General features: G+C 43.5%; 1 protein-coding gene across 22 annotated transcripts in view, besides 2 other annotated features; it reads left to right on the top strand.

Annotated features, from left to right (window-relative positions):
• The window catches only part of TLE1 (TLE family member 1, transcriptional corepressor), a 105,865-nt gene that overhangs the window by 5,709 nt on the left and 86,280 nt on the right, over positions 1-13,876 (top strand). Inside the window, exon 1 of one of the 22 annotated variants that reach the window (XM_006717261.3) lies at positions 9,864-9,957. The exons of the other annotated variants lie outside the window; for them this stretch is intronic. The gene's annotated coding sequence lies outside the window, so the exon portion shown is untranslated. Of the gene's footprint in view, positions 1-9,863; positions 9,958-13,876 lie in introns of those variants that run through there. 22 annotated transcript variants of the gene reach the window in all.
• Positions 7,451-7,745: a silencer, noted in NCBI's record as "tiled region #7656; HepG2 Repressive non-DNase unmatched - State 17:Gen3'". NCBI's record gives its function as "represses a minimal TATA promoter and a strong SV40 promoter by Sharpr-MPRA in HepG2 cells {active_cell/tissue: HepG2}" and the evidence as "EXISTENCE:reporter gene assay evidence [ECO:0000049][PMID:27701403]".
• Positions 10,171-10,465: an enhancer, noted in NCBI's record as "tiled region #9381; HepG2 Activating non-DNase unmatched - State 14:Gen5'". NCBI's record gives its function as "activates a minimal TATA promoter and a strong SV40 promoter by Sharpr-MPRA in HepG2 cells {active_cell/tissue: HepG2}" and the evidence as "EXISTENCE:reporter gene assay evidence [ECO:0000049][PMID:27701403]".

The raw sequence follows: 13,876 nt of genomic DNA, 5'->3' as shown, positions 1-13,876 counted from the left end.
ATACAGAGTGAGGCATTTGTGGCTATATACTGTCTGTCCGTGAGCCTGTATGCATTAATAATATGCTGTGTATAATTGGCTTAGCAATTTGAAAAACGTGAAAAGCTGAGAGACACCATGTTCTTCATAGTAGGGTACTGAGCCTCCTGAAATTTAGTTGATATTGGAAATGCTGACAGACCCTTAACTAGAGTGCTGTGCAAAGTAGTGCTATAATTCAGTTTAAAGTGGACTTACATTTGAAAAACATCCTTCTGAATGTCACACATTAATAATAAGTTCTGAGGAGGCATTTGGTGCAGCTAGTAATCATAATTCTTATTAAAACTGGTGACGTCTGGCCCCCAGGGTGTAGCCAAGCTCAAATTGATGCTTTTTGCCGCCTGATCACCAGCATGGCCTAAGTGCTCATTATATTGTAGAGAGGGCCTTTGGAGCTCTCATTAGATTTGACAGGAATTCTCTCTAGGGGGAAACTGGGCATTAGCGAGACTCCTGACAGGCTGAAATTATTCCTGCTTTATGGCTTATAACCAAATGCTAGCAAGGCATCATCAGGGGACACAAAAAATTGTCATTTTTGACAACATCTTTGTTACTAAAAAAAAAAAAAAAATGCAGTGATGGGGAAACTTTCCGTACAGAGAGCTTTAATGCTGTTAAGATTTGTCTCCAGTGTGACGACCGCTCTCCCTTCCCACCTTTCAACGGGTTTGTCGGAGTGAGTTCTAGAGATTTCAGTGTCAAATCTCACTGCTGACTTTCCTGTCTGGAAGTTTTAAAGTGAAAGTGCATCCAAATCAAGAATGGTATAATTGTGGTTTCCTTTCCTGGTGTGGTGCCCACAGCCCGTGTTTAGGTTGTGTCAACACTTCCTGATAAGCCTTGCCTTTACTTTCTCTGCTCCCGTTTGTGGCGGGTTACCGAAAAGGCAATGAAACAGGAATGGTAATAGATACTTAAGTCTTTCATGGTAGCACTAAGAATATTTTTTTCTTGGAGCCCTTTATAGATCCCTGTCTGCCCATCTTTATCTGTGTGGATGGTAAACTCTAGATATCTCTATACAGTAGAGGTAGACAATGTCTCATGGAAAATTGAGGCAGTTCTGATACCATCAGAGTGTTAGGGTGCATTAAAAAACAGCAAGTTGATGTGAGCCTGGTGGTTTGCCTAGCTGTGCCTAGTGTGTGTGGTGGCGTGATCTTTAAATGTTTTTGTCTGTCATATGGTTTGATATTACCTCATTTGATATTTTTGGGAACAAGATGTACTGTAAATGCACACATAAACCTTATTTTAGCCCACTCATGTTATCTTTTCAGCATGCTGATGAAGCCATGCTATAAATTGTCATTGGTGGCTTTAATTTGCACAGTAATGAACAGTTTTCAATGTGATTTGTCTTCTGTGACCTCCATAGGCATCCTCCAGAGTAGATTGGGTAGGTGTTTTGCTCTGCCTACAGCTGTGTGCACGTGTTCAGAGTCTGGGACTTGCTCAAGGCCACGCATCTATTGAAGCTTGAGTTGGGTTGCCTCCTCCAGGGTTGTCTGTGCTGCTGCTGCTGCTTTTTTTTTTTTTTTGAGATGGAATCTCGCTTTGTTCCCCAGGCTGGAGTGCAGTGGTCGATCTCTGCTTACTGCAGCCTTTGCCTCCTGGGTTCAAGCAATTCTCCTGCCTCAGCCTCCGGAGTAGCTGGGATTACAGGTGTCCGCCACCATGCCCGGCTAACTTTTTTTTTCTTTTTTTTGTAGTAGAGAGAGGGTTTCACCCATGTTCGCAGGCTGGTTTCGAACTCCTGACCTCAAGTGATCCACCCACCTTGGCCTCCCAAAGTGCTAGGATTACAGGCATGAGCTACCACACCCGGCCTGTCTGTGCTTCTTCCTATCCCCTCATGCTGCCATCAGGAAGATGAGGTGGACCATGTCTCCCTAGTGCCTGCCTCTTCAGTTCTGACTCTTTGTGCTGATGAACTTCATGATTTGTAAGACATGTCAGGACTGAATGTATGTTCTAAAAGTTAGGAGAATCAGCAGTGCCGCTGACTGGTCTTTCTGGGGAGAGGAGGGTCACAGGCCATGGGTAGATAAAACTACTGAGCAGTACTGTCCTCAGGTTAAAGTATGTTTAAGAAGAAACAAGTCAGGAATCCTGGTGGAGACCCAGTGATGGGGAGGGAGTTTGATCAGTCACTTTGTGCCTGTGTTCTGCTGAAGAATGGGCAGAGTGAGAGCACTGGGCTCTCCAGGATGGTGAAGAATTTTTTTTCTTTTTTTTTTTTGCGCGACGGAATCTCGTTCCGTCACCCAGGCTGGAGTGTGGTGGCACAGTCTCGGCTCACTGCAACCTCCGCCTCCCAGGTTCAAGCGATTCTCCTGCCTCAGCCTCCTCAGTAGTTGGGATTACAGGAGTCCACCACCATGCCTGGCTAATTTTTTATTTTTAGTAGAGATGGGGTTTCACTATATTGGCTAGGCTGGTCTCGAACTCCTGACCTCAAGTGATTCCCCCCGCCTCGGCTTCGCAAAGTGCTGGGATTACAGGCATAAACCACTGTGCCCGGCCGATGGTGAAGCATTTAAAAATAAATGAAAAGACTAGCTCTGAAAATCTGAAAGGAAGGATGATATATTCTGCAATCCTGGTTGGGAAAGGGAAAGAGCTCCATGTGATATTTCAGCAAGCAACATCTCAGGCCATGTAAATTTTGGAGTGAAACTGCTTTTACAGTTTTGATGTGTGCTTTAAAATTTCTCTTAGAAAAATGCGTTGTTCTTTAGTGGGTTTTTAAAAAAGTATTTAGATGGGACTGTTAGGGACTCACCTGTGGGATATTTCCTTAGATGTGATTCTTTTACTCTTTTGCAAATTTTACCTTAGTGTTTTTTTTGTTTTTTTTTTTTAACCCTGTGTGTTTTTGTCTACAGTTTCTCACTTTGAGATTTTTTTTCCCCCTAAGTCAACATCTCACACAGGGAAATGACTAGCTAGAGTATAGGCACTTAGAGTTAAGCTCCAGCAGGTGTTAATAATCTTGTCATACAAAGAGGGTAGCTGTCATCAAGATTGGAGTGGTCCTCAACTTCATTAGCCAGGCCTGTTCTTTGCAAGCATAAGTTAAAAGAGAGAAAGCTCTCTGCATTTAGAGCCTAGATTCCGAGGTGCAAGATTAGCCTTTGTTTCTTATCAGCAAGCAGGACTGATCTCTCACCTCTCAGTCACCTTCCCCACCCTTCAGCAGTGGGCCAGTGGCTGGTTTTTGTCCTGGACTTGCACTGGAGTAAGGCAAGGGAGTCCCTGGGCATGGATTTTAAGAAAATCACAAAACATAGTTATCATGATCAATATTTTGAAAATTCAAACGGAATGCCCCCAAAATCTTCAAGGAACAACATGTCCAAATTTTGTATTAGGGCAGGATCCAACAGGGGGAGTTGGGAATAGGGTGAGGACAGGAGGTAGAGTCAGGCCATTGCAGGGCCACAGCACCTCCCTTGCCTCCCCCTCTTTCTGCCTTTGGTTACCTGTCCTGTGGGGAGTGGCCATGAACTATAGGCTCTGACTTGGTTCCGTTGTAGTTCATTGAAGTCATTTAATTGGGGATTTCCATTCGGGACTGGGCAAGTCATGAACACGTTCCCTGGCTTCAGTTCCCCTCTCTGTATAATGAGGGTTAGACTAGACAAAAGTCTGTTTGTTCCCTCGCATGGTGGGAGCCATCCCAGCATACACCCGCAGAACCCAGCACCTCGTGCGTGCAAATTGAGGAGCGTCCTTCGCCAGAGGACTTAAGATGTTCTCCCAAATAGTGTTTATTAAGAAACAGAAAGAAAATCTGTTTCTTTAGTAAATATTTAAATAAATCATCTTGAGTGGTAGTTAAACTAAAAATATATTCAGTTACTGGCTCATGGAACCATTTTAAGTTTCCATGGATCTGAGTCTTTGCTGTTTTATTATTAAACCTTTTGTGGTCTCCAGAAGTGGATTAAAGGGGAGGAAACTGAGAAACTTACTGGCTTTCCTCAAAGCTTTGATTGATTTCGTTTCCTACCCTCTCCCCTCCCCATTGCTTATTGTTGCCTCTGATTTTTAAAAATGGAAATTCTCACAACTAGTACCTTTACTACAGGGTATTTAGTATAGTGGTTTTTAAGTAAATTTTAGACAGCTGTTTCTGTCGGTGGGCTTATTTGACAAGAATAGGCATCTGTACCTTCAAAATACTCCTCACCAGAGGATTGTTCTGTGAATACGGTGTGATGTTTTAAGTGGAACTAGGATGCGCAGGTGTGGGCAGGAGGAGAGAGGTTTTCTGATTTTTTTTCCCCGTGAGGTGTGGTTTGATCTGAAAAGTGAAATAAATTTGCACTGAAATTTTAACATAAATTAAGATATTCATGTATTGCCATTCACCTGATTTAACAAAAGTATGGTTTCTAAAATTGTTTGCAAAGGAATGATTTCAGATTTGCTGCTTGTGTTTCTTCCTGAGCAGGGTCCACAGGGGAAAAAAAAAGAAAAAAAAGTGAAGAAAAATTTTTAAAATTATTGTTTGTAGACTACCCAGTCACCGTAATATTTTTTAATGAAAATCCAGGAAGTGTTGATATATGATTTTATCAAATAACCTGTGATTTAGCAAAATTACATGTTTCATTATTTAACATTTAATTTTTTTAATGGCGATAGAGTCTTAATCTGTTACCCAGACTGGAGTATAGTAGCGCAATCTTGGTTCACTGCAGCCTCCGCCTCCTGGGTTCAGGTGATTCTCCTGCCTCAGCCTCTGGAATAGCTGGGATTACAGGCGTGCATCACCACGCCTGGTTAATTTTTTTTAAATTATTTTTTGGTAGAGATGGGGTTTCTGCATGTTGTCCAGGCTGGTCTCAAACTCCTAGCCTCAGGTGATCCACCTTCCTCAGCCTCCCAAAGTGTTGGCATTACAGGTGTGAGACACTGGTCCCAGCCCCTAATTTTTTTTTTCTTTGAGATGGAGTCTTGCTCTGTCATCCAGGCTGGAGTGCAGTGGCTCGATCTCGGCTCACTGCAACCTCTACCTCCCTGAGTAGCCGGGATTACAGGTATGTAGGTTCAAGCAGTTCCCCTGCCTCAGCCTTCCAAGTATCCGGGATTACAGGCACGTGCCACCACACTCAGCTATTTTTTGTGTTTTTAGTATAGACGGAGTTTTGCCATGTTGGCCAGGCTGGTATTGAACTTGTGGTTTCAAGTGAGCCACGTGCCTCAGCCTCCCAAAGTGCTGGAATTAACAGGCGTGAGCCACTGCTCCCAGCCCCTAAATTTTTAATAATTACTAAGTTGCAAGCCAGGCATGTGGCTCATGCCTATAATCCCAGCTCCAGAGGATCACTTGAGCCCAGGAGTTAGAGACCAGCCTGGCCAACATAGCGAGACCCTATCTCTACAATAAAAGATTTAAAAAAAATTAATTGGGCCTGGTGGTACAGACCTGTAGTACTAGCTAGTACTAGTGCTGAGTGAGGCAGGAGGATCTTTTGATCCCAGGAGTGGGGAGGTTATAGTGAGCTGTGATCACACCTCTGTACTCTAGACTGTATGACACAAGCAAGACCTTGTCTCAGAACACACAAACAATAAATTGTATTCTATTTACCTTCTTTGAAGCAATATAAAAATCATAATGGTGGGCACAATTGTTTATCCCCTCCCCTGTAAGGTCTCATAGTAGGTATAAAAAACAGCTATTTATTTTAGTTTTTCTTATAGTAGTATTTGCTGCTTAGTCATTCTTTGACCACAAAATATGTTAGCAGAAAAAGAGTAGGATACAAGTCACTTTGGGTAGAAGGAAAAAGCTGGGAGGAAAAAACAAATTCTGAAAATTCTATCCGTTGAATTAACTTTTTCATCTTCCAAATAGAGAAAAAATTAAGTATGCTAGATATACACCACTGTACGCTGGAAGGGATAGAGTTGTATATGTAGCTTGCTGATCATCCCTGAAATCTATTCCCAGTGTACTAATGGATATTCATTATCCATTAGATGAAGTGGAATCAGTCTTTGAGAATGTAGGTGTGTTTGAACTTGCGCGTCCAAATCTTGCAGTTTGTCAAACTACTGAAATACATGTACCATGAGACTGGGTTTGGTATTAGCACCATGACTGATCTAAGTAGGTTACTAGTCTATGATACTAGTCTAGGTATACGTACAACCTCTTGGTGAAAAGCTTGAGTGCGTTTACCTGAGTTGTTTACTTTTTTTTTTTTTTTTTTTTGAGATGGAGTCTCGCTCTGTTACCCAGGCTGGGGTGCAGTGGCATGATCTCAGCTCACTGCAAGCTCCGCCTCCCGGGTTCACACCATTTTCCTGCCTCAGCCTGCTGAGTAGCTGGAATTACAGGCGTCTGCCACGATGCCCGGCTAATTTTTCGTATTTTTAGTAGAGACAGGATTTCATCATGTTAGCCAGGATGGTCTCGATCTCCTGACCTCATGATCTGCCCACCTCAGCCTCCCAAAGTGCTGGGATTACAGGTGTGAGCCACTGCGCCCGGCCTGAGTTGTTTACTTTTAAATTTGTAAGGTCTTTTTTTTGGGGGGGGGAAGACGAGTCTCGTTCTGTCTCCCAGGCTGGAGTGCAGTGGCACAATCTCAGCTCACTGCAACCTCTGCCTCTGGGGTTCAAGCTATTCTCCTGCCTCAGTCCCACGAGTAGCTGGGACTACAGGCACGTGCCACCACGGACCCAGCTAATTGTTACATTTTGGTAGAGACGGGGTTTCTCCATGTTGTCCAGGCTGGTCTTGAACTCCTGGCCTCAAGTGATCCGTCCATTTTGGCCTCCCAAAGTGTTGGGATTATAGGCGTGAGCCACCATGCCCGGCCAAATTTGTAAGTTACATACATACATTGTTGTATTACACTGTTGTATACATTTAAAATAAATGAACATTTTAAACAGTGGTAAAATGAAATGTCAGCACACATTCCATTGACTTGCCCAGTGTCCCCACTGCTCAGAGACTGCTAGCCCATATGTCAAACCTGGCCGCACCCTGGGAACTCCAGCCCTGGAAAGGGAGCATCTTTAAGATAGCAGATGTAAATTGTCTTCAGGGTCTTGGGATTACATCCATCCTATCCTGCATGTGTGTTCTTTTAAATTTTGACTTCCCCCTGTGATGACCTCTTTGTCCCTCATAGCCTGCTGTGTCTACCCCTGAGTACTTTCCCTTCCTGTCTTGGCCACTGCTTCTTTCTCTTCCTGCATTTCCTTTTATCCTGCCAAATAGGCCTCTTCTTGCTGAAAGTATGTTTTGAGTTTTCCTGTTTTCTTTATAAAAAGTCCAGGCTTTTGTATCAACCTTCAGATGGCCTTCCTCAGTCTCCTTCAAGTCCCAGTTCAAACACCACCACCTGTTTACTTCAAGGCGGCCTGGGACTACCCAGTGGCAGGCTGTCACAGCACTTGTTTTGCTCAGTGTCCTGTAATAATGGTTTTTCATGTGCTTCTTTCCTTGCTCCGACTAGGTTGCAGTCTGCTTGAAGCTGAGTTAGGGACTTCCATCTACCCTTCCCGATGAGTTATCCAGAGTAGGCATTGATTATATTGTGTTTTGGGTACTCCTTATGTGTAGTGGTAGTTGTATCCATTTTGGACCCTGAACGTTTGAAAATCAGGTGAAAGCTACTTTGCAAGAAAAGTTTGTACATGTTTTTACACACAAATACCCAGGATAGCTTTGCCCAACGATTTTGGCTGTTTGTGTGCATCTCAAGATCCTTCAACAAGTCCATGGAATTCAGATTAAAAACTCGAATCAAGAAAACTAGTGTGGGTCGGCCTGGTGTGGTGGCTCACGCCCGTAATCCCAGCACTTTGGGAGGCTGAGGCGGGCGGATCACGAGGTCAGGAGATCGAGACCATCCTGGCCAACATGGTGAAACCCCGTCTCTGCTGAAAATACGAAAATTAGCTGGGCGTGGTGGCAGGCACCTGTCATCCCAGCTACTCGGGAGGCTGAGGCAGGAAAATCACTTGAACCAGGGGGTTGGAGGTTGTGGTGAGCTGAGATCATGCCACTGCACTCCAGCCTGGCGACAGAGCGAGACTCCGTCTCAAAAAAAAAAACAAAAAAAAACTAGTGTGAGTCCTTATGCTAAAATTAAAAATGAAATCTTTTCAGTTCTAATAACCTTATCTAACCAGTTTTGCTCAGTTTTTCTTTTGGAAGAGTGATCTGTAGTCAGTAACCACTGAGAGTTCTTAGTGAGGAGTTTTATTGTAGTAATATGTTTGGGTTTGGACTAAAAAAGAGAGATAAACAAAACTAGCATGTTGCTGGGGCCTAGGTTTGGTGTGAATTGAGCATGTGCAGGCATTACTGTCCCTGGAACTGCAGCTGCCAATAGAGTGTAGATGAATTGCATGACAAGCTTCTCTCAAGGCATTAAACTTGACTTGTCACCAGATTTCTTAGTAATAATGAGTATAACCACTGATTATTTACTTAGTCTTTACATAGTGTCTTCCATTCTCCCAAACATTTTATTATGAAAAATTTCAAATTACAGAATAAAAGAGAAATACACAGCAATACCCATATTATACCCACCTGTATGATACCTGGAGTCTATAAATTAACATTTTGTAATATCTATCTGTCATATATCTTCCATAGGCTCCTCCTTCCCCCAAAATCAAGAAATAAATTAATAATATGGGGAATTTGGAAGGACTTGATAGAGGATCAGGCCTTTCTTTAGCTACCGACCTTGGCTTAGACTGATAACATGAAGCAGGGATTTCCATGTACTTTTTTTAAAATTTATTTTTTGATTTTTTTCAGTAGAGATGAGGTCTCACTATGTTGTCCAGGATGGTCTCGAATTCCTGGACTCAAGTGATCCTCCCACCTCAGCCTCCCAAAGGGCTGGGATTACAGGTGTGAGCCACCACACCTGGCGTCCATGTACATTTTAAGAATTCTGTCTTCACCTGTTTTTATAGGGTTTTCCTCCTAGACTTGCCCTTTGTACTTTTGGCGTGGTTGTATTAGGTGATCCACCATTACACGGTTTTTAGGTGATTTCTTTCTCAACTGTCACTTGAGATTTTATTTAACGCAGAAAAGCTGGACTCCCCTTACAAAGTCCTCCTCTCTTTGTTCTGACCCCTCAATGAAACTTGACTTATACTTTACCTTTAAGATGTAACCAGTATATTTGCTGGGGGAAATATTGTTAGCAACGATAGGTAAGAAAATAGAAATAATTTTGCAAAAGGACTCTGATTTTGAACTTTGTGTGTATGGAATTGTCGTGATGGAGATTTTCAGTTGGCCTCAGGGACCTTGGGTGGTAAGGGGGTAAGGACCAGAAACAAAACCTCATTGAGGACCCCAGTGTGTGGAACCAGGCCCTTCAATGCTGTGGCCTTCCGGTTGCTCCTCAGGAGCATAGTCTTTGTTTCCTCTTGGTGCCCTCTTGATGCCTTGAGCAAACAGCTGGTCAGAGCTTCTTATAAGTACAGTGGCCAGCCAGTGTATTGACACGCACAGACACAATAGAAAACTGCATTAGAAGGCAAGCCATTGGGATTTGCAGTAAATGTATTACAGAACACAAGTGACTTGCTGATACTGCTTGTTTAGCAGTTTGCAAGGGCAATGGCAGTATGGATTTTTGAATTAGAAGGGAAGGGCTGTTCTTTCTCTGTGTGGGAACATCTAGTTGATGGCTGGGGAGAAAATTGATTTAGAGAACAAAATGCAGCCACCGTTATTTGTGCCATTTGAAAGGCCTCTATGGATTAGTGAGTGAAAATAAAAAGGTTGCTTTCGGTTTAGGAAAGAGGGTCTTAACATTGATCTGCGTCTTGGTCTGGTATGGAGAGAATAAAGGATGGACCACCAGATGGAGAAAGGGCATCCAGGCCCCATGCAGCCTGCAGATACAGGTACACACTCCATTCTCACATAGTTGTCTTTCTCAGCTCTTTGGCTTTCAGAAGTCGGCTTTTTGGGTTTATTATTACAGTAAGCTTTTCCAATGACAACATTAGAGTTGTCATAGCCCCCATCCGTGGAGCTCCCATGTGCCCTAGGAATTGGTCCGCCAGAAGCCGCCCCCTCCCCGTGTCAACCTTCCCAGCCTCCCTTTGTGTGGATACTAATTATTCCACCTTGAAAAAGAGAAAACAGGTGAGTGGGATTAGGGGATGACAGTAGCACCTACCCCATAGGGTAATTACCAAGATTAAGTGAGTTACCAAATGCAGGAGCAGTTGCGTAGTTTCCTGGCATGGGGGCGCTCTGAGGGATAGCTGTGATCTAAATAGCAGTCCCTTTAAAACTCTACCCCTGCTCTTGGACTTCTAGGCCATGCTTCACTGATACTTCCGTTTTGTTTTTGCAAACCCAGCTTCCTTCCTACCTCTGAACTGATTTTCCCATTACCGTGTTTTATTTCTTTCCTTCTAAGATCATAAGCATTTATCTTTAGGCTTAAAAGGAGAAAAAAAAAAAAGGACTTGTTGGCAGTCTGTTTTTTTTTTTTTTTTTTTTTTAAATGAAGTCTCGCTCTTGTCCCCCAGGCTGGAGTGCAATGGCGCAATCTTGGTTCACTGCAACCTCCACCTCCCAGGTTCAAGCGATTCTGTTGCCTCAGCCTCCCGAGTAGCTGGGATTACAGGCGTGCACCACCATGCCCAGCTGATTTTTGTATTTTTAGTAGAGTCGGGATTTCACCATGTTGGCCAGGCTGGTCACAAACTCCTGACCTCAAGTAATCTGCCTCCCTCAGCCTCCCAAAGTGCTGGGATTACAGGCGTGAGCCACCGCGTCCGGCCTTGTTGGCAGTCTTTATTGTCTAAGTAAAATGTCTTACTTTGGCCAAACAGCAGAATGTGTCCTTGGAAGGCAATAGCTTTAAGTAATGTAACTATCAGTAAGAATAAAGTTGTGTTGAGTTTTTTCATTTAAAGGGATGGAAGAACAACAAAGGATTTGGTTCATTCTATCAAAGTAAGTTTTGGCAGAATAAGGACTAGGAGGTATATTTCAGAGTTTTTCTTTCGAATGTAACATGGAAAATTTGTCATTTTGAAAACAAGCAGGGTATGGAATTAGAGGGTCAAGTTGTTGCTTGGTTACAGAAAGAAAAAATTTCATTTTGATGAGGGATATGTACACCTGTGGGGAGTGTGTGCATGTAGTTTTCTTTTTGCTCTGTAAAGTACTGTGCAAAAGTTGTGAGTAGAGTAGTTGTGGTGCTGTCTTTCTTCGTCTACTCCATGGGCTTGAGATTTTTGTTGACAGTCAAGGTTCACAGCTGCTGCTGATGTACTAATATTTGGGGAAGCAAAAAAAAAAAAAATTGTTGGGAGGCTGAGGCGGGACAATCACTTGAACCTGGGAGGCGGAGGTTGCAGTGAGCCAAGATCGCACCATCACACTCCAGCCTGGGCAAAAAGAGTGAAACTCCATCTCAAATAATAATAATAATAATAATAATAATTTATTGCAGGGGAGAAAGGCAGAGCCATTGGGATTGGTCAAACTGGAAGTTTAGGCTGTTTACTCTTAATCCCAAGCACAATGCAGTAGAAACTTCTTGTGTGTCTTTGTAAGTATTTGAGATAAAGCAGGGCACAGTTCAGACAAGTTGTGCCAGTACCTGCTCTCAAACAAGCTCCAAAGTTGGCCGCCTTCTGATCTGGGTGTGCTGAGAAGCTCCGCGTTCATGGCTCTTTCTGCTTAGCTTGAGAAGTGGCCCTGACACCCTGAGGATCTGTAGGGGAAGCACTAGGTTCTTGACAACCCCCTAGCCTGCCAGTTGGCCTGGGTCCCAGAACTTTTTCCATTTGTAAGTGGGCTGGCTCATTTACAGTGCTTGGGCCATGAGCTCCCTCAGAGCCAATGTCTCTGCACAGCTACTGAGGAGATTGGAATTGGACCATTGAAATGTATCCAACTTCTGTACTTTTTAGCTGACCAAAGGCCAAAATCATACCACTAACTTAGGAGGGGAACTGCTGACATTTGAATCTTATAAGAAATCTGTATTTTATAATCGACTACCCTAGATGCTATGATATTTATGAATTAAATGGAAGTATAAGGAGGAAGTATAAGGAGGTTTCAAATACTGACTGGATTTTTCTGAGTATATAGATTTTTTTTCTTTTTTTTTTTTGAGACGGAGTCTCACTCTGTCGCCCAGGTTGGAGTGTAGTGGCGCAATCTTGGCTCACTGCAAGCTTCGCCTCCCGGGTTCAAGCGATTCTCCTGCCTTGGCCTCTCGAGTAGCTGGGATTACAGGCACATGCCACCACGCCCTGCTAATTTTTGTATTTTTAGTAGAGGTGGGGTTTCACCATGTTGGTCAGGCTGGTCTTGAACTCCTGACCTTGTGATCCGCCCACCTTGGCCTCCCAAAGTGCTAGGATTACAGGTATGAGCCACCATGCCCGGCCTTCATTTTTCTTAAATAGAGACAGGGTTTCGCCATGTTGCCCAGGCTGGTCTTGAACTCCAGGGCTCAAGCAATCCGCCCGCTTCAGCCTTCCAAAGTGCTGGGATTACAGGCATTTGCTACCATACCCAGCCTAAGAATACATTAGTTTTGAACTGGTTGTTAAATCTGTATTCATCCTTGTTTCTTTTTTGTTTTGAGACAGAGTCTCACTCTGTTGCCCAGGCTGCAGTGCAGTGGCGTGATCTCAGTTCACCGCAGTCATTGCCTCCCAGGTTCAAGCTATTCTCCTGTCTCAGCCTCCCAAGTAGCTGGGATTACAGGTGCTCACCACCATGCCTAGCTAATTTTGGATTTTTAGTAGAGATGGGGTTTTGCCATGTTGGTCAGGCTGGTCTCGAACTCCTGACCTCAGGTGATCCATCTGCCTCGGCCTCCCAAAGTGCTGGGATTAACAGCATGAGCCACGGCACCCAGCCCATCCTTATTTCTTGACTAATTTATTAAGTATGGCTTACCTACCGAAAGGGTCCCAGACAGATCAATGTCAGTGTATCACTGATCTTATGCAGCCATTGTTTGGGTTATTATTTTATCCAAGATCAAATACCCAAAAAAAGCTGTGATTTTTTTTTTTTAATTTTTTTTTTTCTGATTAGCTTCTGGAACTCTCAAAGTGCTGAAATTGCTCAAAGTTAATAAGGAATAAGTAACAATTGTTGCTTCTCAAAGCAATATAAAAGGTGGCCATGCCTGCAATCCCAGCACTTTGGGAGGCTGAGGTGGGCAGATCACAAGGTGTCAGGAGGGTCAGGAGTTCGAGACCAGTCTGGCCAATATGGTGAAACCCCGTCTCTACTAAAAATACAAAAATAAGCTGGGCACAGTGGCGCACGCCTGTAGTCCCAGCTACTAGGGAGGCTGAGGCAGAAGAATCACTTGAGCCCGGGAGGCGGAGGTTGCAGTGAGCCAAGATTGCCCCACTGCACTCCAGCCTGGGCGACAGACCCAGACTCTGTCTCAAAAAAAAAAGGGAAGGGACTTTTGTGTAGACTTTGCATTGTGAGAATATTGGTATTGACACCATTTATAATTTGGAGTAGAGTTTGAAGACCAGATTCTACTGTTTGTCGCATACTGGTTAATATGGCTGTAAAGAGGAGATGAATGTGGCTACTTTTCCAAGTCTATTACTCAGGAGGACTGTAAATTTGATTGGCTGTTACAATTCTAGCAGAATCATTCGATTTGAGAGCAATAGAAAGATAAGATATCCAATTACCCAAATGATTTGCAGGGTTGGCCAACGTTGTCATGGAGACACGAGTTGGAACAAATTAAATTTTAAGCAATAAAATAATCTTAAAGCCCGTCTGGGAACAAGAAAATTTGGCAGTGGCACT

This window comes from Homo sapiens, chromosome 9 (genome assembly GCF_000001405.40).
Source record: "Homo sapiens chromosome 9, GRCh38.p14 Primary Assembly".
In the NCBI taxonomy this organism is placed as follows: Eukaryota; Metazoa; Chordata; class Mammalia; order Primates; family Hominidae; genus Homo; species Homo sapiens.
The sequence above is the reverse complement of the archived record's forward strand: the minus strand, read 5'-3'. Positions and strand labels throughout refer to the sequence as shown.